Source organism: Homo sapiens, chromosome 9, assembly GCF_000001405.40.
Source record: "Homo sapiens chromosome 9, GRCh38.p14 Primary Assembly".
NCBI classification, from domain to species: domain Eukaryota; kingdom Metazoa; phylum Chordata; class Mammalia; order Primates; family Hominidae; genus Homo; species Homo sapiens.
This window is the reverse complement of record NC_000009.12, coordinates 39854539-39881044: the sequence shown is the minus strand read 5'-3', so window position 1 is coordinate 39881044 and position 26506 is coordinate 39854539. Positions and strand designations below refer to the sequence as shown.

At 38.2% G+C, this 26506-nt stretch overlaps 1 long non-coding RNA gene and 1 pseudogene across 2 annotated transcripts in view; one reads left to right on the top strand and one right to left on the bottom strand.

Annotated features, from left to right (window-relative positions):
- Nucleotides 1–5649: 5649 nt before the first annotated feature.
- FAM88D (family with sequence similarity 88 member D) lies at nucleotides 5650–7188 on the bottom strand. Its single transcript, NR_126049.1, has 2 exons — nucleotides 6820–7188; nucleotides 5650–6704 (listed from the first exon to the last, which is right to left on the bottom strand). It is a non-coding gene; the product is annotated as a family with sequence similarity 88 member D (long non-coding RNA).
- FGF7P3 (fibroblast growth factor 7 pseudogene 3) overlaps nucleotides 6479–26506 on the top strand; it is a 60783-nt pseudogene continuing 40755 nt past the window's right edge. Inside the window, exon 1 of the transcript NR_003670.1 lies at nucleotides 6479–7135. The product of NR_003670.1 is annotated as a fibroblast growth factor 7 pseudogene 3 (transcript). The remainder of the gene's footprint in view (nucleotides 7136–26506) is intronic.

Below are 26506 nucleotides of genomic sequence, written 5' to 3'. Positions count from 1 at the left end.
ATCTTACTTCACTTATCACATTCATATTCAAGGCAAACTAAATAGAATCGGGATGATAGGCTTGTACATTTATGCTTTTTTACAGAAACCTTTAGAGAAGTGTTCAGCTATACTGTATCTCACCTATAAAAGGTGGTTCACATTTCCAAATGGATAAAGGCTAGAAAAATCAAGAAAAAGAGCTGTCATGAGTACATGACAGCAAACATAATTTGGGGCTTAGACTCCTGACCAAATTGAAGTTCTGTAAGTAAGAAATTAAGAGAAAATTAATATTGGGCAGGCAAAATCCATGTTGGTATATCCTTATGCATATAACTAGAAATATATTGCTAATTTTAATAAACTTACTTTCAAAAATGTATTCTGTGTTATTATACTTTAACATGTGTTCATTAACTGTGTGTGTTCCTAAACCTTGTCATATTTGGATATGATTTTTAGCAATAAATAGTGGGGCAAGATGGAAAATCTGAAGTTTTACAAAAACTAAATATAAGACAAAAACAATATATATTCAACTAAAAAGGAGTTGGCAACAAACTTCTCTGATTCTATATCAAATCCCAAAAAACAATGGAATATGTATCAGTAATTATTGACTACCATAGGGTAATAATAATAATAAATGGTCATAAAATAAATTAGTTAATGGAAAATGATAGATATTAATTATTGAATGATAAAGCACAATGTAAAACAAAATGATAGAAATAATCATACTCACAAACATAACAATCTGTATGTACAAGTCTAGGTTTTCCAAATTAAAGCTGGTTACTCACAAAATCCTTGAAAAGAGTGAGAAGTTGGTGGGGTGATTATATTTTTAAGCTATGAAGTCAGATAGTGTGATGTTTCATCTCAGTACCACTATAAAATAAAGTTTTAATCCTGTTCATGTCAATCTTAATTTTCACTAGCTTTTTAGGTAAGGAAAATTCATGTCCATCCCTTCCTTGATTCATCTCTTTCAAAAGCAACACTTTAAATGGTTGATGACTTAACATCACTGCAACTATTTTCTCCTTCATTTAAGAACATAATCAACCATTTATGTGAGCATGTTTATTTTACACCTCAATTTTGGCTCAAGGAATATAACACATAGTGGTTTCTTTCTTTCATTTGCCATATCAAATCCATGAACACCTGCCTTTAAGATGTATCAGATTACTTTTACCTCTTACTAGCCATGTCCAGGCAACTGCCAAAGCACTGGATCATTGGAATAGCTTCATAAATGATGACCCTATTTCTCTCACTTTCATTCCTAGAGGCTGTTTTTCAGCCAGGAGTCAGAATGATTATAAAACATAAATCAAATAATTTCACAGTCTTGCTCATAGCTTTCTAATTGTTCCCCTTCTCAAAGTAAAACCCAAAACCTTGTCATTGTTTGTGAAAGAAACAATATGGGATCCTTCTCCATACCTCCCCCAATTTATTTTATCACAGCCCTCATTGTTTTGGTCATTCTATCCTTAAGAGCCTCCTGATATTTCTTGGAAATGCCAAGATTCACCCACCTTAAAAACCACTTTGTTTTTCTGTCTTTGAAAGAGACATGCGCTGTAGATATTTGCTTGCTACTCTACTTAATTCTAGACATCTCAGCAGAATTCTTTTGAGAGGCAGACAGTCACTCTGGATCTGCATTCAAATTTCACCCTAGAACTTATCCGCATGTTAATACTGCGTTTCTTTTTTTAATTTTTCACTGCCTTTCTCGCCCAAAAAGAAAGAACGTAAGCTCTTCCTGTCAGGGACAGCTATTTTTTTTTCTGTTTTCTCTTTTTCTTAACCTGGCATGAAGACACATTTCTGGCATAGAGCAAATAAATAATAAATATTTGTTGAATCTAGTAGGTTTGAAGAGGCAGCTCATTATACGTTTCGTTTGCATTTCTTTAATAACTAATGATGTCGAGTATGTCGAGAATGTTTTCTTCAGTATTCTCAGTCAAATCTTGCATAAGTTAATCCTTAATTTGTCAACTGTTGATTCATTTTGCTCTGTGCTGTTCTCATGATAGTGAATGAGTCTCACGAGATCTGATGGTTTTAAAAATGAGAGTTTCCCTGCACAAGCTCTCACTTTGCCTGCTGCCATCCATGTAAGACGTGACTTGCTCCTCCTTGCCTTTCATCTTTCGCCATGATTGTGTGGTCTCCCCAGCCACATGGAACTGTGAGTCCAATAAACCTCCTTCTTTTGTAAATTGACCAGTCTCAGGTATGTCTTTATCAGCAGCATGAAAACAGACTAATACAAAGGTTACATAAGAAAATAAGGACAACCACAGAATGGGACAAAAACTTATAAGTCTTATATCTGATAAGGAACACATGTTCCAGACGATATAACCACTCTTACAACTCAATAAAAAGACAACGCAATTTAAAAATGGGCAAAAGATGAATAGACATTTCTTCAAAAAGATGAAAAATGGCCAATAAGCATGTGACAAGGTGCTCAATAACATTCATTATTAGGGAAATGCAAATCAAAACACAATGATACACCACTTCACCCCACTGAGATAACTAAATTCAAAAGACAAACAATAAGGAGTGTCAGCAAGAACAGGAAACTGGATAAGAACCTTCATTCAATGCTGAGGGAATGTAAAATCTTGTCTGTTTTGGAAAACATTTTGGTAGTTTCTCAAAAATTAAAACAGAGTTATCATATGATCCAGTAATTACACTCCAAGGTATATACTTAAAAGAAATGAAACCACACAAAAACGTATACCTGAATGTTCACAGCAGCATTATTCATCATAGCCAAAGTGGAAACAAGACCACTCAAGCCAGCCCTGCCTCGGAACCTGACAAAGTTAAATGGAAGCCTACACAGCTGAGCCGCATTTCCATGGGAGACATTTTGGTCATTCCAGGTGATGATGAACTACACCAATTGTTAGTGGCTGAGAAGAACCTCAGGAATGTGCGAGCATCTTTTGACTTTTATTTTGGGGGGCTGCATCTACTACCACAACATGCAATATGGGTAACACTGGCATGGCTGGTTAGATTTGATTACCTCATGCAAATAAGTCATGTGGTAATACTGATATTGATGATCAAATGTATTGGGAGAGTGAGTTAAAGTCTCCTCAGGATGTAATACCAACGGAAAATGAGTCTTTAGAAGAACTATATTTAGTTAACCATCACCTAATTTCCAGATAAATAGTTCTGCACAGGTCATATAAGATACAAAGAGCAGTAGATCAAGGGGGAGGATGATCTTGGGGACTCCTGAAATATACTGTCAATAACCCAGATATCCTCCAGTAAATAAATGGATATACAAAGTGTGGTATACATACATATGTACATACAGTGGAACATTATTCAGCCATAAACAGGAATGAAGCACTGATACAGGCCACACAATGAATGAACCTCAATAAACCGTAGAATCCTGCTACGTGAAAGAAGCCAGTCAGAAAAGACCAGATATTGGATGACACATCTATATAAAATGTCCAGAATAGGCAAATCTAGAGACAGAAGGCAGATTCATGGTTGTCAGGGGTTGAGGGAAGGAGGAAATGAGGAGTGATTAAGTGAATTAATGCATGTTAACACCTTAAACTTTGGGCAACTGCCCAATCACACAGACAGTGCAGTCTCATTCATGGGTTACATGACAAAACAAAGAGAAAAGCCTGGGTAGAAATACCAACATGTATGTTATGAAAAATATAACACCTAAATAAACAGAGAAACTATGTTCCTTAATGAGCAAATTCAATATTATAAGGTTGCCAATTCTCCTCCCATAGTTTCTCAAAAGTTGCAATGTAATGCAATTTTAATCCAAATGGCATGGTTATCTAGACAAGAAAAAAATTGATTGTAAAATTTATATGAAATAATAAAGGTGTGAGAATTGCAAGGAAAATTTTCAAATGGAAAATTATTACAGGAGAAAGGAGTGTGGAGACCTTGCTCTGTATGGCAGAAGTCAAAGACAGCTACCATCAATTCTTTCCCTTCCTCAACACACATTGCTTCTCAAGAGGTGAGGAATAGCTCCCTTCCCCTTGAATCTGGCTGCCTTGCAACTTGCTCGATCCATAGAATGTGACATAAATTCCATTCTGGGAATTCTGCTATTGTATTTTTTTTTTTTTTTTTTTTGAGATGGAGTCTCCCTCTATTGCCAGTCTTGAGTGCAGTGGTGCAATCTCAGCTCACCGCAACCTCCGCCTCCCAGGTTCTAGAGATTCTCCTGTCTCAGCCTCCCGAGTAGTTGGGACTACCGGTTCACACCACCATGCCCAGCTAATTTTTGTATTTTTTTTTTTTTTATTGGAGACGGGTTTCACTATGTTGGCCAGGATGGTCTCGATCTCATGACCTTGTGATCTGCCTGCCTTGGCCTCCCAAAGTGCTGGGATTACATGCATGAGCCATCGTGCCTTGCCCGATTTTTTTTTTTTTTTTTTTTTTTTAAGAAACTGAAGCCTCTACTTCGGTCTCTTGGTAGCCTTCCTCCTGGGAAGCTCTTTCTTGAATCTAGTCACCATTCCATTCCACCACGCCACATATGTCTTCTCCAGGCAACAGCCAACATCAATTGTCAGCCATGTAAGTGAGTTTCAGATGACTGTGGCCCCGGCTAATGTTTGACTGTAGCACATGTGAGAGGCCCCATGCAGAACCACCTAGAAACATGGAGAGCAGTCACCCTGCAGAACCATGAGTAAGTTAAGCTTAGGGGTGGTTAATTATGCAGAAATAAGTAAACAGAGCACTCCACCAGGTATTAAAGATTATTACAAAGATTATGTAATTAAAACAATACAGAACAGACCAGGGTTGACTACAAGATCAATGGGACAGAATAAAGTTACATATCCAATGCCTGCTGCTGACCACAGGGATTTGTCACAGATCTCATCACTTAGAAACCCTACAGTGGTTTCCCTGGTCACCTTCCAGTCACCACTACACCTTGGCTCCTTTTAGCACTCCTCCCTAGCTTATCACTATATGAAATTGCTTTATCTCTTTGTATTGTCTGTCACCTGCCACCATAATGTGAATTTCTAGACCTCCATAGCATGCAAAGCTCTAGAACAGTTCTTAGAACACAGAAGGTGCTTGACAAATATTTTCTGAAAGAAAAAGAAGATACTTCAATACCTCAGTTTACTAAGGACGTGGGGCTACCATATGGCTGCCTGAACAAATACAGCTTGACATTCACTTTCTTGCTACTGATTGAAGTGTATTAACTTGTGTAATCACACAACTACCCTATGGGGTAGGTGCCCTTATTTCTCCATTTGGCAGAGAGGGACTAAGTATCTTAACCAAGGTCACACGGCTTTCAAGTGCCAGAGCCAGGACTCAGATCTACATAGGTCTGGCTCCAGAGCCCCCAATCTAACCTCTTAACCTCTCTGCTTTACTGGGCTAAACCTTCACCACCTATCATATGGAAAAAGAAATTCAATAGAAAGTTATATGGAAAAAATACAACCCTGTGTTAATATTAGAAAATCCATAGTAACATGTAGAATGAGGAAGCTTCCTCAAGCCCAACTATACAGGTCAGATCGGTTGAAAAAATAAAACTAACAAATTTTTACATGTCAAAATATGCAATATTTGAAAATCCAAGGCTAATATCTTTAAATAGGCAAAGATTTATTAATACTCCTTGACACACAAACAGGAAGTGAGAAAATGGGCAACTGACACAAATCGATAATTAACTGTGAGGACATAGGTGGTGGAGTCTCTCCTAATCCTCTATTCTTGGAGATCTGGATGCCTGCCATTCGCGTATGGGAAGAACAGAGACAGTCATGGAAAACAGCATTTGATCTAGAAAGGACCATAATGAGGTCAAAGGGCGGTCTCAGGGCAGTCTTAAGAGCTCCCCATCCCCAAAGAACTGGCAAGGACTCTCCAGGTGCTCGTATGCGACTGCTGCCCAACTCCCATCACGAACTCAGGAGACCTGTCATTTTCTGAAATTTTCATGACTTCTAAGACACTAGTTATTGGGGAAAATTTCAAATTATTTAAATAATGAGAGGCGAATAACATTGCTAAACTCATGAATACTCTGTATTTAAAACCTCCACTGGCGATCAGGGCACATAGAATCTCTACTACTGATCCCTGACGCTGGCCATCCCCCAACCCGTCGGCCCACGGACCCCAGCCCTGACCCCACCTCCTCCCAGCATCTTACACAAGGATTCTCACCACACTCCCCAGAGACTCGCCTGCCCAGGGCCCCTCTCTAACCCCATATAGCTCAGGTCTCTGATCCAGAGACTGCATCACCGACCTCTCCTACTACCTATTTCCAGATTAGAGTCCCTGATCCCAGAGGCATTGTCTAAAATAACTAGCTCTTACAACTACGTCCACTTCAGGAACCGCCCTGTGATGTCAGAACTTTGAGGCCGCCCGGCCAGGGCTGCACATGCTCAGTGAGGTCGGCGCCCGCCAGTAACAAACATGGCTCCCTGAAGCCGCTCAGGCTCAAGAGCAACATGGAGGTCTGCACTTAATCGCTCCTCTCCGGGGGCGGCCATACTGAGGAGGCATCTCTTCCGTGCAGGCAGGCTCTCCTGGGGACCTCAGAGATTCTCTCCAGCGGCAGCAGAAAACGGGCAATGGGTGGATTCGGGTCCAGATTCTGGCAGGAGGGAGTTTGGGATCGAGATCTGGAAAAAAGCACTAGACTGGAAGAGGACGCGATGGAGTCGGAGCCGCTGGCGGGTACAAAAACCAGAGGCCGGGGAAGGCGCCGGTGGGAGGCAAGGCACGGATGGACTTTACCTGCGCACGCGTCGCAGCCATCTCCGCGCACAGTGGTGGCCACCGCGACTGGTGCTGAAGTGTCGGCGTGTGCCGGGCGCTCCGCTGGGACCCGGGTTGCTCGCCCTGAGTCTCAGCTTTCTCATCTGTACGGTTGGGACAAGTACAGTAACCCTCGCCCGTCAAGACGGGCCAGGGCTGTGGCGAGGGTCCACGCCTTAGAGCAGGCACCTATCTTGTGCAGGGCCCTGAGATGGGGTCTGACTCAGTTCCTGCGGGGAACTTCACCAGTGACCCAGTCAGTGCCCTTCAGTTAAAGACCACCAGGAGCACACTTGTAAGTAAATATAATTACATTGCAGCAAGGAATGGGGTACTATGGGTCATCTCAGTGGGAGGAGTTAGAGAGAAACTATTATACGATTTGGACTTTAATTGGTTGATTTCGGACAGGATCTCAGAAAGTGAAGACTTTAGATTGGATGCTGTCAGAAAGCAGGAGCAATATGATTATTAAGTATTTTGTGGGTGGCATCAAGACCTTGTTTTTTATCTGCACTTAGACAACATTATAAAGTGCCCTTGTTTTTGTTTGCACTTATCACGGTCTCAGATTAACCTTCTGAAGTTGATATTCTGTGAGATTGTTTATGTCCAACAGGAAAACAAAATGTCCTGGCCATGAACATCAGACCAGCGTGTAATCACATTAAGGCCTGTGACCAAAATATTGACAGAATTGAAGTTAGAAATAGTTCTACAGTAACAGAGTCTTCAATACTCCATTTAAAATAATGCATAGAAGCTGGACATGGTGGCTCATGCCTTTAATCTCAGCTACCTGGAAGGCTGCGGCAGGTGGATTGCTTGAGGTCAGGCGTTCGAGACCAGCCTGGGCCTTTTGGCCTGTCTCGGCTTTTAACATACCTTCCTCACTCAGCTTAATCATTTCTCACTTTAGATTTATAATAAGAGATGTGTGACTCTTACTTTCACTTGAACACATAGAGGCCTTTATAGAGTTATTAATTGGCCTAATTTCAATATTGCTGTGTCTCAGAAAACAGACCTGAGGAGAGGGTGAGATGGAGGAAGGGCAGATCGATGGAACCATTCGAATACACATATGTATCAATTAAGCTCATTGTCTTTTGGAGCATGGCTTGTGATGCCCCAAAACAATGACAATAGTAATATCAATGATCACTGATAACAGATCACCATAACAGATATAATAATAACAAAACATTTGAAATATTGCAAGAATTACAAAGATGTAACACAGAGGTGCAAAATAAGCACATGCTACCAGAAAAGTGGCACTGGTAGACTTGCTTGGTGCAGGGTTGCCACAAACCTTCAACCTGTACAAACTGCAATATCCGAGAAGCATAATAAAGTGAAGTGCAATAAAACAAGTTAAGCTTGTATATGTATGCATGCACACACCAGTACACATCCACCTATCCACACACAAATCTTTGTACTAACAAAGCCTGTATTTTCAATTCCAACAATACATCATTTGTACCTTAAAAATCTCTGTCATCCTTGTAGTGTCCTTTTCTGTCTTTGTTATCAGGGTAATGCTGGCCTCATAAAAAATGTTTGGAAGTGTTCCCTCCTCTTCAACTTTTGGAAGAGTTTGTGAAGAAATCGTATTAATTCTTCTTCAAACATTTGGTAGAATTCTCCACTAAGCTATCTGGTCTTGGATTTTCCTTTTTCAGGAGCTTTTTGACTACTGACTCAATATTTTTAATCATTATTTATCTGTTTTTATTTTCTATTTCTTCATGTTTCAGTCTAGTGGATGTATGTTTCTAGAAATTTCTCTATTCTAAGTTAAACAATTTGTTGACACATAGTTGTTTAGAGTAGACTATTATTATCCTTTGTATTTCTATGGTACCAATTTTAATATCTCCTTTTTTGTTCTAATTTTATTTACTTGAGATTTCTTTTTTCTTGGCCTAGTGAGAGGTTGGTCAATTTTTATTATCTTTTCAAAAAATCAACTCTTCGTTTCATTCATCTTTTCTATTGTTTTTCTAGTCTATTTCATTTATTTCTGCTATGATCTTTGTTATTTCCTTCTAATTTTGGGCTTGATTATTTTTTTCTATTTTTTGAGGTTTATTTGGGATCTTTTTTCTTTATTTAGCACTTATCTGTATAAACTTCCCTCTCTTAGAACGGCTTTTGCTTCATCTCATCAGTTTTAGTATGTCGTGCTTTCATTTTAGTTTGTCTCAAGATATTTTATTTCTTTTTTGATGTTTTCTTTGATCTACTGGTTATTCAGGAGTGTGTTGGTTGATTTCCACATATTTGTCACTTTTCTAAGTTTTCTCCTGTTTTTAATTTCAGTTTCATGCCACTGTAGTCAAAAAGAATACTTGGTGAGATCTCAATCTTCTTAAATTTGCTAAGACTTGTTTTCTGGCCTAATATATGACCTATGTTGGAGAATGTACTGTGTATGCTCGAGAAGAATGTGTATTTTGCTGTTTTGGAAAGGAATGTCATGTATATGTCTGGTCCATTTGATCTATAGTGTAGTTCAAGTCAGCTGTTTCCTTATTGATTATCTGTCTGAATGATCAATCCATTGTTGAAAGTGGGATATGGAAGTCCCTTACTGTTATTGTATTATTGTTGTCTACTTCTCTCTTCAGATTTGTTAATATTTGCTTTATATAATTAGGTGCTCCAATGTTGGGAGAATATATATTTGCAGTAGTTATATCCTCTTGATGAATTGAGCCTTGTATCATTCTATAATGACTTTCTTTGTCTCTTGTTACAGTTTTTGACTTAAAGTCTATTTTGTTTGTTGTAAGAATAGCTACTCTTTCTCTTCTTTTGTTCCCTCTCTTTCAGTCTATGTGTGTCTCTAAAGGTGAAGTGAGTCTCTTATAGGTGGCATATATTTGGTTCTTGTTTTACTATCCATTCAGCCACTCTGTGTCTTTTGTTTCACTGATTTGGTCCACTGATATTTAAAGTAACTATTGATAGGCATTTTGTAGTTTTCTTGTTCTTTTATTTCTCTCTTGCTGTGCATGATTTGATTACTTTGATTATTTTCTGTAGTGGTATACTTTGATTCTTTCCTGTGCCTTTGTATTAATTCTTTTTTAAACGTGGTAAAATTCTCATTTGTGTATCTGTTACATGTTTGTCTTTGTGATTATCATGAGGCTTACATAAAACATTGTATGCTATCGTGTGCCACACAAGGATGTTTTGGTCAATGATGGGCCACATATACAACGGTGGTCCCATAAGGTTATAACATTTTTATTGTACCTTTCATATGTTTACATACATTAGATACACAAATGCTTATGATTGTATTACAGTTGCCTATAGCATTCAGTATAGTACAATGCTGTACAGATTTGTAGCCTGGAAACAATAGGTTATACCATATAGCCTGGGTGTGTGTTAGGTGGTATTATCTAATTTTGTGTAAGTATACTCTATGATATTCACACCATGACAAAATTGCATTATTCAGAACATATCCGCATTAAGAAATGCATGATTGTAGTTATAATGGTCTATTTTAAGTTGATAACAACTTAACTTCAATCATATACAAAAACCCTACACTTTACTCCCCTCCACTTATGTTTTTTGATGTCAGAGTTTCTTTCTTTGTATATTTTGTAATTATATTTATTTGTAGTATTTTTTGTCTTTTAACCTTTTAAAAGTTAAAGTGATTATACTGCATCATTACAGTATTAGGAGTATTTTGAATTTGACTGTATAGTTACCAGTGACTTTTTATAACTGCATATGGTTTCATGATACTAATTAGTCTTATTGCATTTCAGTTTGAGGAACTCCCTTTAGGGTTTCTTATAAAGCAGATCTAGTGACAGTGGACTCCCCTAGATTACTGTGGGGGGTTTCTGAAAAAGTCTGTAAGTCCTAGCCAGAGCAATTAGGTAAGAAAAAGAAATAAAAGGCATCCAAATTGGAAAAGAAGTGAAAGTGTGTCTATTTCAAGATGACATGATCTTATATAGAGAAAATTCTAAAGGCTCCAAAAAAAAACTGTTAAAATTAAGAAACAAATTCAGCAAATTTACAGAACACATAATTAACATTAAAAAAAAAAAAACCTATTGCATTTCTATATACTAACAGTGAACTATCCCAGAAAGAAATTAAGAAAACAATCTCGGGCTGTGCGCGGTGGCTCACGCCTGTAATCCCAGCAATTTGGGAGGCTGAGGCAGGTGGATAATGAGGTTAGGAGATCGAGACCATCCTGGCTAACATGGTGAAACCCCATCTCTACTAAAAATACAAAAAATTAGCCGGGCGTGGTGGTGGCCGCCTGTACTCGGGAGGCTGAGGCAGGAGAATGGTGTGAACCCGGGAGGCAGAGCTTGCAGTGAGCTGAGATCACACCACTGCACTCCAGCCTGGGTGACAGAGCGAGAGTCCATCTGAAAGAACACAATCTCATTTACAATAGCATCAAAAAATTAACTTAGGAATAAATTTAAATAAGAAAGTAAAATTTCTATATACCAAAAACTATAGAACACTGATGAAAGAATTTGAAGATAAAAGAATCTCTATTACTCAGTGTGATCTACAGATATAATGCAACCCCTATCAAAATTTCAGTGGCATTTTTCAAAGCAATGGAAAAAAGCAATTCTAAAATCTGTGTGCAACAGACCCCAAACAGTCAAAACATTCTTGAACAGAAAAAACAAAAGTGGAAGCTTCACATTACCTTATTCCAAACTAAATTATAAAGCTATAGTAATTAAAATAGTATGGTACTGGCATAAAAACAGACATGTAGGCCAAGGGAAAAGAATAGAGAGCACAGAAACAAATCCATGCCTTTACAATCAATTGATCTTCAGCATTGGTGCCAAGAAAACACAATGATAAAAGTTTAGTCTCTTTAATAAATGGTGTTGGGAAAACTGGATATCCACATGCAGAAGAATGAAACTGAACCCTTATCTCACCCCACATACAAAAATTGACTCAAAATGGATAAAAGACCTCAACCTAGGAGCAATATTGTAAAACTCTTAGACATAAATATAGGAGAAAAGCTCCTTGACACTGGTATTGGTAATAAATTTTCAGATTTGACACCAAAAGTATAGACAACAAAAGCAAAACTAGACAAATGGGACTAAATCAAAGTAAAAGATTCAGCACAACAAAGGAGACAATCAATACAATGAAAAGACAACCTAAAGAATGGGAGAAAATATTTACATGCTATATATCTGATAAGAAGTTAATATCCAAATAAATTAGGAACTTAGACGATTCCAAAGGACCTTGTATTAGTCTGTTTTCATGCTGCTGATAAAGACATACCTGAGACTGGGTGATTTATAAAGAAAAAAGAGGTTTAATGGACTCACAGTTCAACACAGGTGGGGAGGCCTCATGATCACAGTTGGAAGGTGAAAGGCATGTCTTACATGACAGCCGGCAAGGCAGGATGAAAGCCAAGCAAAAGGGGAAACCCCTTATAAAGCAATCAGATCTTGTGAGATTTATTTACTACCATGAGAACAGTATGGGAGAAACTGCCCCCATGATTCAATTGTCTTCCACCAGGTCCCTCCCACAACATGTGGGAATTATGGGAACTACAATTCAAGATGAGATTTGGGTAGGGACACAGCCAAATCATATCATTCTGCCCTGGCTCCTCCCAAATCTCATGTCTTCATATTTGAAAGCAAATTATGCCTTCCCAACAGTCCCCCAACATCTTAACTCATTTGAGCATTAACTCAAAAGTCCACTCTCCAAAGTCTTATCTGAGACAAGGCAAGTCCCTTCCAGCTATGAGAACATAAAGTCAAAAGCAAGTCAGTTATTTTCCAGATACAATGGAGGTACAGGGAGGGTGTAAATATACCTGTTCCAAATGGTTGAAATTGGCCAAAACAAAGAGGCTACAGGCCCCAAATCCAAAATCCAGCAGGCCAGTCAAATCTTAAAGTGCCAAAATGCACTCCCTTGACTCCACGTCTCGCATCCAGGTCACACTTATGCAAGAGGTGGGCTCCCATGGCCTTGGGCAGCTCCACCCCTGTGGCTTTGCAGGACATATCCCCCCTCCTGGTTGCTTTCATGAGCTGGCATTGTCTGTGGCCTTCCCGTGTGCATGGTCAAGCTGTTGGTGGATCTACCATTCTGGGGTCCAGAGGACGGTGGCCTACTTCTCACAGATCCAGCAGGCAGTACCCAAGTGGGGACTGTGTAGGGGCTTCAACCCCACATTTCCGTTCTGCACTGTCCTAGCAGAGGTTTTCCATGAGGGACCCCCCCCCACCCGCCCCACAACAAAATTCTGCCTGGACATCCAGGTGTTTCCATACATCCTCTGAAATCTAGGCAGAGGTTCCCAAACCTCAGTTCTTGACTTCTGTGCACCCACAGACTCAACACCATGTGAAACTGCCAAGGTTTGGGGCTTGTGCCCTCTGAAGCCAAAGTCCAAGCTGTACCTTGGCCCCTTTTAGCCATGGCTAAAGTGGCTGGGATGCAGGGCATCAAGTCTCAAAGTGGCACACAGCAGGGAGCCCCTGAATCCAACCCAGGATTTTTTCCTTTTAGGCCTCCTGGCCTCTGATGGGAGGGACTGCCACAAAGATCTCTGACATGTCCTGGAGATATTTTCCCCATTGTCTTGGGGATGAACATTTGGCTCCTTGTTGCTTATGCAAATTTCTGCAGCTGGCTTGAATTTCTCCTCAGAAAATTGGTTTTTCTTGTCTATCATGTCGTTTGGCTGCAAATTTTCCAAAGTTTTATGCCGTTTCCTTTTAAAACTGCATGCTTTTAACAGCACCCAAGTCACCTCTTGAATGCTTTGCTGCTTAGAAATTTCTTCTGCCAGCTACCCTAAATCATCTCCCTCAAGTTCAAAGTTCCACAAATCTCTAGGGCAGGGGCAAAATGCTGCCAGTCTCTTTGCTAAAACATAGCAAGATTTACCTTTACTCCAGTTCCCAACAAGTTCCTCGTCTCCATCTCAGACAACCTCAGCCTGAATTTCATTGTCCATATCATTATTAGCATTTTGTTCAAAGCTACTCAACAAGTCTCTAGGGAGTTCCAAATTTTCTCATGTTTTTCTGTCTTTCTGTGAGCCCTCCAAACTGTTCCAACCTCTTCCTATTACCCAGTTCCGAAGTTGGTTCCACATTTTTGGATAACTTTACAGCAGCACCCCACTTTACCAGTACCAATTTACTGTATTCATCTGTTTTCATGCTGCTCATAAAGGCATACCAAAGACTGTGTAATTTATAAAGAAAAAGAGGTTTAATGGACTCACAGTTCCATAAGGCTGGGGAGGCCTTACTTATGGTGGGAGGCTAAAGGCACATATTACACAGCAGCAGGCAAGACAGAATGAAAGCCAAGTGAAAAAGGAAATCGCTTATAAAACAATCGGATCTTGTGAGGCTTATTTACTACCACAAAAACAGTATGGGGAAAACTGCTCCCATGATTCAATTGTCTCCTACTGGGTCCCTCTGATAACACGTGGGAATTATGGGAGCTACAATTCAACATGAGATTTGGGTGGGGACACAGCCAAAGCGTATCAGACCTGAAGAGATACATTTCTAAAAGACATACGATTGACAATAGGTATATACTAAGAAAAAGATGTTTGCCATTACTAATCATCAGGAAAATGCACAATGAGATATCACCTCACATCTATTAGGATGGCTATTGTAACAGTAAAAAGGTAACAAATGTTGCTGAGGATATTGAGAAAAAGAAACCCTTGTGCTTAGTTGATAGTTGATGGGAATGTAAATTGGTACAGCCATTAGAGACAACAGTATGGACTTTCCTCAAAAAATTAAAAATGGAACTCCCATATAATCCAGCAATCCCCATCTAGGTATATATCCAAAGTAAAGAAAATCACTATCTCAAAGAGATATGTATACTTACATGTTCATTGCAGTGTTATGTACACAGCCAAGATATGGAAACTACCTGTGTCCATTGACAGATGGATGTTTTAAATGTATTACACACACACACACACACACACACACACACACACAAGGAATATCATTTAGCCTTTAAAAATGAGGAAATACTGCCATTTGTAACAAAATGGACAAACCTGGAGTTTATTATGGTAAGTAAAATAAGCCAGGAACACACACACACAAATATCCTGCATGATTTCACTTATATGCATACTAAGAAAATGTCAAACTCATGGTAACAGAGTAAAATAGTGCTTACCAGGGCCTGGGAGTTGGGGGAAAAGAAAAAATGTTTGTCAGAAAGTACAAACTTTCAGTTATAAGATGAATAAGTTCTGGAGATCTAATGTACAGCATAGTGACTAAAGTCAATAATAATGTATACTTGAAATTTGCTGAAAGAGTAGATCTCAAGTGTTCTCCACCACACAAACACAAATAAAAAGGTAACCAGGTGAGGTGATGAATATGTTAGCTTGATTGTGGTAATCATCACTTCACAATGTATATGTATATCAAAATAACACACTGCACACCTTAACTATATACAATTTTTCTGTTAATCAATAGAACTGGCAAAAATATGTTATATGTTGCCTTGACTCCATTTCTTCTTATTTTGTCAAAATAGATAGTTCTCATTGTTTGCATGTTTAGAAACTTGTGCTACATCTAGAAGCCAGGAGTGGGGTAGGGTGAACTAAGTTACTGATTCTTTAGGAACCTTAGGGTGTAAGGTGGGACTGGAGTTCAAGGCCTAGGAGCTGAGTCTGGTCTTGATCAGCCTCTTTTTTTGTTTTGTTTTGTTCTGTTTTGAGACGGGGTCTCACTTTGTTGCCCAGGCTGGAGTGCAGAGGCACGATCTGGGCTCACTGCAACCTCTGCCTCCCAGGCTCAAGCAATCCTCTCACCTCAGCCTCCCAAGTAATGGGAACCACAGCCATGTGCCACTATGCCTAGCTAATTTTGTTGTATTTTTGGCAGAGATGGGGTTTCCCTTGCTGCCCAGGCTGGTCCTGAACTCCTGAGCTCAGGTGATCCACCCACCTCGGCCTCCCATAGTGCTGGGATTACAGGTACGAGCCACCACGCCTTGCCATGAGCAGCCTCTTCTGATATCCGTGGTGTGTTCTGTACACTTTTTTTTTTGTCTGAATGCACCTTTCCTTTCTCCTCCCTTGCACTCCAGAACCGTGGATACTCAAGTCTATCCTGAACCATATAGAGGAGGAGCTTTGAGTGCTATATGAAATTCATTTATGATATCATTCTTCATTCCTTCACAGAAGTAACTCAGAGTTCAATTAGGGATTCACATGGTAAATTTGTCTTAATGCTCCAAGTGGGCTTAAAGGAACTTCCTTCTTGTCGGCCATCATGTTTGTATACAACTGTAATGGGAATTTGAGTTTGTATGACTAGTGTCATGAGCACTCATGTTTGTGAGCACACCTCTGCATCTGCTATTTCTTCTATTGGCCTACAGACTTTTCCTTCTTTAGGATATTATCAACTTGAATTCAAATTTTTATCAAAAATTGGACCTAGCTCTTTTTATTCATATTTTCCTGCTACATTTTTTCCACTAATTTATTTTCGATAGGTTATATTGTGTTTTTTGACACTTAAAAATTTTACCTGACAATCTTAACCTTTGATTTATGTAATTATTGTTCCATTATGACTTCTTTCTGTCATCTCATTTATGATTTTTCATACTTTACTGTGTCTTTTTTCCTATTTGTACCTCTCACTCTATAGATCAAAAATTTTTCATTTGTTTGAAATCTGGAAATTTTTAACATAGTAATGGTGGTTATGTCATTACTTATGTTAATTTTCTCAATTTCCTCCATGTGTCAAAATTAATATCATCTCAGCAAACCAAATAAGTACTCTAGCCTCCTCTTGCCACCTCTGGTTTGCTTTCTCTGTTACGACAGCACTTTGTCTAAGGTGGTACTTTCTGAAGTTTACTCGGAGTTGTTTTCAATATGTTATGTTTTCATGTATTTTTTAGGGTATGATAAACACCACTACCATTGATTCTGGAACCCTCAATTCTAACACCACGGTGTATTTCTCTTCTTAGTGGAGTATGTCCTCTAGGCATTTTCAAAGGGATTTATTTGAAATAAAACTTTTGAGGCCTTACTTTATAATGTCTTTTTCTGTGCTTTCATATTTAAAAGATTTTGGCTGCAAATAATTCAAGGATTAAAAATTGTTTCCTTTTAATCCTTGAAAAATATTACTTCATTTTATTCTTGTCTCCAGCATTGCTGTTGGAAAGGCTGACGCCAATCAAAACCAATTTTTCCCTAAAGGATGATCTGTCTTCTCATCATTTTGACAGGATGTAACAAAACAAAGGAGTCTTCAATGTTGTGAGTATAAATCATTTTGCAATTATAAACTTAACTTAAATATTAATGCAATACAAAAAGAATTAAAACCTTCTTGAGACATGCAAGTGCACAGGAAAATTAACTATCATGCACTCATTCAGGAAGAAAAGGTGCAAAAGAAATTTAATGAAAGAGACGGTCGTTAGATGCAAGTGTGGTTGAATGTAGGGATGCGATGCTGACAAGTGGCAGCAGGCCTGGCAAGCTGTCTATCCCAATTCAACTACTTCAGAAAGAGAAGAATATTAACTAGGCTATCTTGGTGATGTGTTGAAAAAAGGTGCTATGTTTCCTTTTTAATCATTCAAAACAAAGGTAGTAAAATTCCTGGGAAATAAGAAATAATGCATCATAAATGTATAAAAATAGAAGAAAATACTATATTTTTATGAATTTAAAATGCCAGCTATTGTAGATTGTTATCTCTTTTCAGAAGTGCTTTAAAATTGATGGCACATAGTAAAAAAATGGCATAAATTCCAACAATTAATGGAAAAACATTAATCCATCTTCTTGAATCTTGGAACCAGGATTCTTTTGGGAGGCTTCGGTGTATCTGTGTATCATTTCATTGCCTTCACACAAATCAAATCATGCCACCTGCGACTGTGGTTTGAAAAAAAAAGAAAACATAATAATGATGCTGTCAATTCACTTGAGATTCCATGATCAAAATTAACCTATGAACAAAGCACAGACTTTATTATAATTACAAAATAGGATGTAATTTACATAGAATGTGAAAATATAAGTATAGAACCATATTTGATACAAGTCGAAAGCTATGACAGGGACTGTTGGAGAGGAGGGAAGTTGTACACTAATCTCCACATCCTACTGAGCCAATCAGTGGTGTTCAAATTGGATGGACTGTATATTTAAACAATATATTATTTAAGCAAAGAATTAAGCACTGTAAGTATATTATTTAGAGGAAGCAAATTTTTAAAAATCCCTTAAAATTATATATTAAAGACTAAATTGGAAATATAGTTTTAGAAGAAGAAAGTGGGGTAAATGGGCTAGGTGCAGTGGCTCACGCCTGTAATCCCAGCACTTTGGGAGGCCAAGGCGGGCGGATCACGAGGTCAGGAGACCAAGACCATCCTGGCTAACACGGTGAAACCCTGTCTCTACTAAAAATACAAAAAATTAGCCGGGCGTGGTGGCTGGCGCCTGTAGTCCCAGCTACTCAGGAGGCTGACGGAGGAGAATGGCGTGAACCCGGGAGGTGGAGCTTGCAGTGAGCCGAGATAGCGCCACTGCACTCCAGCCTGGGTGAGGGAGTGAGACTCCGTCTCAAAAAAAAAAAAAAAAGAAAAAAGAAAAAAGAAAAGAAAGTAGGGTAAATGAGCTATATTCTCTATCGTTCATAAAAAGTCAAGGGATATTACTTAAAACTGATAAAACAAATTAGGTGATTATATAATATTATTTACAGTTCAAGAGAATAGCATATAGTAAAAAAAAGAGTATGATAAAACCTGCCTAACTCTGAAAAACAGGACCAAGGTCTGTGGAAGGAAAAAAAAAGTTTCTGGTTTCCACTGATTTTTTTGCCATCAAACTGTTTGAATGATTTTCCATGCACATGTGTTGCTTTAATTTAAAAATGTTCTTACTCACAGATCCCCTTGAATTACGTGTAAAATTAGGTTTCCTTTAGTCAATGGTGTATGAAAAGTAATCAACTCATCTAACTGAAGTTAGACATTAATAAATTATAATTTGGGGGATAACATAAATATACCTATTAAAAACAACCAGAACATAACAGTTGGCTCTATGTTCTGCTTATCTAGGAATTCTTAAAATTATAAAAAAAAAAAAGAGTTTCACATTTTTAAAGAAACATTAGGAATAAAAATGTAAGTGTTTCTCTTGGATAAAGCTCTTAAAATCACTAGTAGAATAAAGTCAATCTAGATTAAAATTTATATTTTCAAATTTATAATATGACCAATATTGCCATCAAAATGTTCAGGCACAGAACATTTTAAAGTAGCTATTTTATTGTTTCTCAACATCCTCTTTCCTTCTATGATTGGCATCACAAATCATGATTGGGACATCTTATCAAAGAACTATACTTGTAGTTTTTGAGTGAAAAGCAAGGGAGAAATTTTATTTGTGCCTTGACCTTATTGATAATGTGTAACTTGTGATGGCCACTATCAATAGAACTATCAACAGATTCGAAGGGCACTGTTTGTTCCTTTAATACGGAGAAATATCGCAAATAACTGGGAAATAATTTAATGACTGAAGCCTTCATTTTTAATCATATAGCTGAGTGATATTTTAAGTTTGATGAGAATAAACATTTGAACAAAAATAGCCAATTCCCTGTTTCATAATTTAATACATTTGTGTTAAAAGGTTTAGATGATAAAGTTAATTTTGAAATGCATTATAAATAACTAAGTAGCAATCATTAAGTTCATTTTTAAATAACTGTTTAGATAACTTAGTAATTAGCAATCATTAAGTTCATTTTTAACTAACTGTTTAGTCCACAAAAGATAAAAAATATATTTTAGAAGGAGAGGGCATTCCAAAATCTGTCTCAGGGACATTTAATGTCAAATATCTTTCAATGAAACAGAAATGTAAATACATGTTTAGATAATTTAGGTTAAAAAAGGTAAATTTTGGTTGCCTGCTTAACTTTTATGAAACAGATATTTTCATTCAAGTCCAGCATATATTTTGCTATGACTTCCACATCCTTTCCTCAGAGAATATTTACCTAAACATTAGGGTACCAAAGGAACTAGGAAACAAAAACTTCTTATTAGAGAGAGAAATTTTTAAGTGAGGCACACATTCTAATGATAGTAATTTGTTTTTGACATTTTATTAATATTTTGATAACACTAATAAAATCCAAAGGGGCAAGCAGGTATTACTGTCTCAGGGTGGGCCCTCTTTTGTCATCCTCTGTAAGATCGCAGTCATCAAAGAGCGTGACCCAAGAAGAAAGTAAAACAGTGGAACAAATGAGCATTTCTCTAAATACAAACAGTAGAGTCCTTGAGAAAGAATCCTTTAAGGCCTTAGATTTCTTTAAACATTTTTAGATAAATAGTCTGGCCTATGCAGAACAAAATGAAATGGTGATAATGAACAGGATAGTGAAGTTTTGTACTGACATAAATGGCGAGTTGATTAATGCTTAGGATAGTGTGAAAGAAGAACTGAATGAAAAATGCAAATCGAAAGAAGAAATACCCAGACAGACCCTTTCCTAAAACATGCATCATAAAATATTTAAAAGCATCTGCTTTAATGCATGGGCTGAGTCAAAGTAAGGCAAATTTTCAGATATCTAGAAGAGCAAAAAAAGTCTGAATCCAGAGGTGTGAGTGTCTCATCTGGCATTTGCCCTGCGGTGTCTCCCAGGACCTACTGGCCCAGACCCATGAGCACCTAATTCAGGAAACAGAGACTGATGCCCATGCAGGAAGGAATATAGGCTAAAATGCCTCCTGCATAAATCTAGGATTTCTAAAAAGAAGCACGTTAAGTGCCTGGGCTAGGAAAATCCCACCCCCATAAGAAAGTGAAAATATGTGCTTGTCTTGGTCCCAATAGGGTAGACAAAAAAATGAAAAATAAAAAACGTATGATAATTTCTAAATACAAAACAATAGCCATATTGGTTTGGGTTTGAATTCACACTATCTATGGGCCTGAGAAATACCAGGGTGGAAATTAGCCTCTGGTAGCAAGAGCTGAGGCCAGCCAGACTTCCTGGGTCGAGTGGGGACTTGGGGAAATTTCCTGTCTTACCAGAGGATAGTAAAATGCACCAATCAGGAACTTACCTGTCTCACGAGTTCTGTGAAATGTACCAATCAGCGCTCTGTAAAACGCACCAATCCATGCTCTGTAAAACACACCAATCAGCGCTCTGTAAAACACACCAATCAGCAAGCTCTGTAAAAACGCATCAATCGGCAGGATTCTAAAAGTAGTCAATCACAGGGAGGATTGAAAAAAGGGCACTCTGATAGGATAGAAACGTGACAAATAAGGGAATAAAACCTGGCCACCCCCCCACCCCCACCCCAGCAGCAGCAACCTGCGTGGGTGCTCTTCCCCGTTGTGGAAGCTTTGTTCTTTAGCTCTTCCCAATAAACCTTGCTACTGCTCACTCTTCGGGTCCTTGCCATCTTTAAGAGCGGTAACACTCACCGTGAAGGTCGGCGGCTTCATTCTTCAAGTCAGCAACACCACGAACCCACCAGAAGGAATCAACTCTGGACACAGCAGTCCTGAGAGCTAATTAATCTGAGTAGAATCATAAAGATAAATATATTTTTCACACATACTTGGAAACATATTTTGTAACACAGCTTTTCTTGTGGTTAAGTGAAGATAGTAAATTTTACAATAAGCAACACTGGGACCACTGGTCTCCATAAGGGGGAAAAAAGGAAATTGAAACTTAATCCCATAGACCAAACCTAAAAATATATTTTAATGGATAAAGATACCTTCTCAACATTCTTAGAAAAAAACTGTGGAGCATCTCTTTTATCTTTACATAGGGAAGAAGAACAAACGGCAAGAGTAAAAACTAACTTGATCACATAAAAATTTAAGACTTCTGTTTATTGGATACCGCAATGAGAAAAAAATATGCAAAACTTGGCAGAGATATTTGCAACACATGTTACCTAGACAGGTTTAGTATCCAGAATATATAAAGCTCTCCTATAAATTAATAAGTGAAAAATAACACCTCAAGAAGTTAGCATAAATAGCCCATAAGCATGTGAAAAAGTGCTCAACCTAATAATAATCATGAAAATGAAAATTAACAATTAGATACCCTTTCACACATATTGACAAAATTTTTTGGAAGTTCTGAAAGGTGTAGTATTGGCAAGGATAAAGAACCGTGGAAGCATTCATCCCATGCAAGTAGAAGGACAGCCATTTGGAAAACGGATGTTAGCTCATACAGCTGATCATGCATGTACCCTATGACCCAGTGGCTTCACTACAACCTAGTGCAATCTAGTCAGCCTGTTACAGGCCCCAGAAAAATTCTTGCATTTGTTTACCTAGGGATATATGAGAATGTTCACAATTTTAAAAACCTGGAAACAATCCAGTTATCTCTCAATATGGGTAGATTGTGGAATAGGTAACTAAATGATCATATATTCCAATAATAGAGTACCTCGCAGCACTAAGAGTGAATGAACTGCAGCTACTCACATTCTCAAACACAGCACTGCAATGAGATACTACTGCATGCATATTAGAATGGCAAAAATCCAGAACTCTGACAACACCAAATGCTGATGAGGATGTGAAGCAACAGGAACTCTCATTCAGTGCTGATGGAAATACAAAATGGAGAATAGTTTTGTGGCATCTTAGAAAACTAAATCTACTCTTATTATACGACCCCGCAATCTTGTTTCTTGGTATATACCCAAAGGAGTTGAAAACTTATGTCCACACAGAAACCTGCACACAGATGTTTATGGACGTTTTATTTATAATTGCAAAAATTTGGAGACAAGCAAGATTACCTTCAGTAGGTGAATAATTAAACAAACTGTATTACATCCAGACAACTGAATACCATTCAATGATAAAATAAATGGCTGTCAAGCCATGAAAAGACACAGTGGAAGCTTACATGCATATTGCAGAATGAAAGAAGCCAATCTAAAAAGGCTACGTATGTCACTTCCAACTTTATGACCTTCTGGAAAAGGTAATACTATAGAAATAGAAAAAAAAATCAGTGGTTCCCAGGAGTTAGGAGGAAGAGAGGGATGAATAACCAGAGCACAGAGGATGCTTAAGGCAGTGAAAGTACGTGTATGATATTTTAATAGTGAATACTTGTCATTGTAAATTTGTCCAAGCCCAAGTGTGAACCTTAATGCAAACTATAAGATGTATCATGTAGGTTCTTTAATTGTAACAAATGCACCACTCTGGTGGGGGATGTTTATTATGGGGGAGGCTATGCATGTGTGGGGGACAGGGAGTATATGGGAAATCTATACCTGCTGCTCAGTTTTGCTGTGAACTTTGAACTGCTCTTAAAAATAATGTGTGTATGTGTGTATATATACATACATATACATGTTTGTGTGTATGCATATCTGATCATAAGAAACAATACATAGTTTCACTTATTTAAAAAGTCAAATGTGCAAAACTAAACAATATACAAGTCTGTAATGACAAGCAATGGAATGATTAACAGGAAGTTAGGGATAGTGGTTACCTCTTGTGGAAGGAGTGAGTGGCATTGTAGAAGGGCAATGGGAGTTTCTAAGATACTGGAAATATTCTATTTCATAACCTGAAGGAAGGACACATATGCTCATTTTATATTCTTCTTAAGCTGTACACACACACTTTTATATTTATGATCTATTTCATTAAGTAATAAGACAATTAAATATATGCATTTGTAAATAAGTGAGATTAACAAATTTTTGGATACATTTAACTTATTAAAGTTGACTCAAATAATTAGAAAATCTGGATGGAAATCATACCATTAAAGTAATTGAGTTGATAATTAATAATTCTACAAAGAAAACAGGATGCCCAGATGATGTCACAAGTAGTTCCAATGTTACACTAATTATTTGCGAGGGGAGAAAAAAGAGGCCATTCTTCAATTCATTTGAGACTAGGGTAACCTTGCTATTGTGTACCTCATCCATGCACACAGAGACAAATATTGTAAACAAAATACTAGGAAGTATACCTAGCAAAGTATAAAAACCATGAACAAGCTCGGTTAGTAATACAAATTTAGTTCAATGTTAGAAAATCTACTGAAATCATCTCCTTATCAATGAATTAAAGACAAAAGTTATATGATTGTCTCAAAAGGCCTATAAAATTATTTTACAAAAATTAAATAATTCATGATATTTCCACCTATGAATAAAGGGTAATTTCCTTAACCTGATAAAAGGAGTCAACAAATAACCTACAGCACCTATCATGTTTTGTGATTAAAAATATCGAAATCACTCCTTTTAAAATCAAGAAAAAGACAAGAGTACCATTGTCACTAAACTGCTTCCAAAGCTTATACGGAAGATAAAAGGGCCCAGTATAACTAAGACAATCCCATAGAAGACTAAAGTGTGTGAAGGTGGGAGGTGGAGCTTATGTGAGTCTATCACGTACCAGATTTACTGTGAAGTTATAATTACCACAGCAGGAATTGCTATTGTGAAAGTGTATGCTTGTGTGAAATCTTGATGTATGCCCTGGCTAACATTACAGAACAGTCAGAAAGGGTCTATATAATCCATGGTATGAGCAGTTGGTATCCATATGGGAAAATATCAGAATGGATCTCTATCCCAAAAATGGATCGCTATCACACAAAGGCCAGATCTAAATGGACAAAGGACTTAAATTTGAGATGCAAATATTTAAAAATCTTTTAGAAGAAAATATAGGAGGGTAACTTATTACATGCCACACCTACTATGTGTACTTTGTACGATGCAAGTGTTGTATATGAGTGTAGTATGTTAAGTGTAGATGCCTCTAAGCAGTATATGCATGCTTGCTACTTTACACACGTGAAACACTGGGAATGGGAGCATGAGAGGAAACCCTAGGTCATTCTGGTCTCCAGACTGCTGCTCCTGCCCACCCCCGGTTCCAGCACTCCCTTCCCCATTCTCCTATACAGATCCTCTGTTCCCGGCACAGCCACTTACAGCAGCTCAAGCCAGCGGCACCCACGGAGAGGCCCTCTTCACCCTACTGCTGGGCTGTCATGTCCCCTTTCTTTTCTTTCTGAAAAACAGTTTTCTCTGCCTGTGACTCCTCATGTTTCACTCTCTCTAAAGCACACGGAAGCCCGGTTCCCTCCTCTGCTTTATCAGACCTGTTGCTGTGAGTTCCACTAGTGACCCTGCATGACAAATTCAGAGGTTTGCTCCCTTTTGCATAGCGTAAAATGTTTACCTCGTGACCTACTTGATAAATACAATTTTATAATTGTTAAGCTATCTATATATTCTGTATCTGTTTTAAAAATTATTTATAGGCCAGGCAAGGTGGTTCACGCCTGTAATCCCAGCAGTTTGAGAGGCCGAGGCAGGAGGATCATGAATTCAGGAGATTGAAACCATCCTCGACAACATGGTGAAACTCCGTCTCTACTAAAAATACAAAAATTAGCTGGGCATGGCAGCAGGCACCTGTAATCCCAGCTACTCAGGAGGCTGCAGCAGGAGAATTGCTTGAACCAAGGAGGTGGAGATTGCAGTGAGCCAAGATTGTGCCACTGCACTCCAGCCTGGCGACAGAGTGAGACTCCGTCCTCACACACCCCCCCAAAAATATAAAGACAATGTCAGTTATGCCACACATAGATTGTTTTTATTCCATAAAACTGCTCTCCATATGTGTAATATGTTTCTACTTCACACATAGTTTTGATCAAAGATTAATCTATTGCATACTTTTCTTAGTAATTAATAAAACTCAGCTTGGATTTCTCTAGCCAGATAAAACACCTTATACTAAATGAATCAATCAAAGCTCTTTGTTGGAGTGAGATCTGAAAGCTTTCGCTCAAGCTGGCTGCCTCAGCTTCACAGCATCAAATAATGGAGGGAGAAGTGGAGGCTGACATGCAGCAAGAATGACTGTGTGTGTGTTGGAGAGATATTTTGTTTAATTCATTTACAAGATACTCATGCCACACTGCTACGTGCCAAACAGCTGTTCTTGCTACTTGGTAAAAATTAATCATCTAATAGTTGAAAAGTTAATTGTTGTAATATGACTTCAGTATGGCCACTCTCCGGGATTGGGAGCCAAAAAAAAAAAAAAGCATCACCATCATGATTGAGAAATGGAGTTACTGGCAGTAGTGGAGCAAACCACGATTCTGCACTTGGACACAGAATTATTCCTGACAAGATCCTGGCTCTTAACTCTTCCACCAAAACTGAGTCTGCAGCTCCCACACTGAAATGCCGCTCATTTCACCCCAAGTGTGTTCCAGCCGTTCCTTCTTCTTCTCCTTCCTACCAGCTCTGTAATGTCTCCATCACAATGCTAAGGTCAGGGTCAATGGCACCTCTTTTTAGAAACTTTCTGAGAGCCCTGGAAAGTAATCTCTTCTTGTTCTTATTCCATGATCTCCTGTACGTTCTTTTTCTTTTTTTTTTGAGACGGAGTCTCGCTCTGCTGTACCTTCTTTAAATCACTGATGATCATTTGTGTAGATGAGTTGTCTCCGTGTGTGTCTGA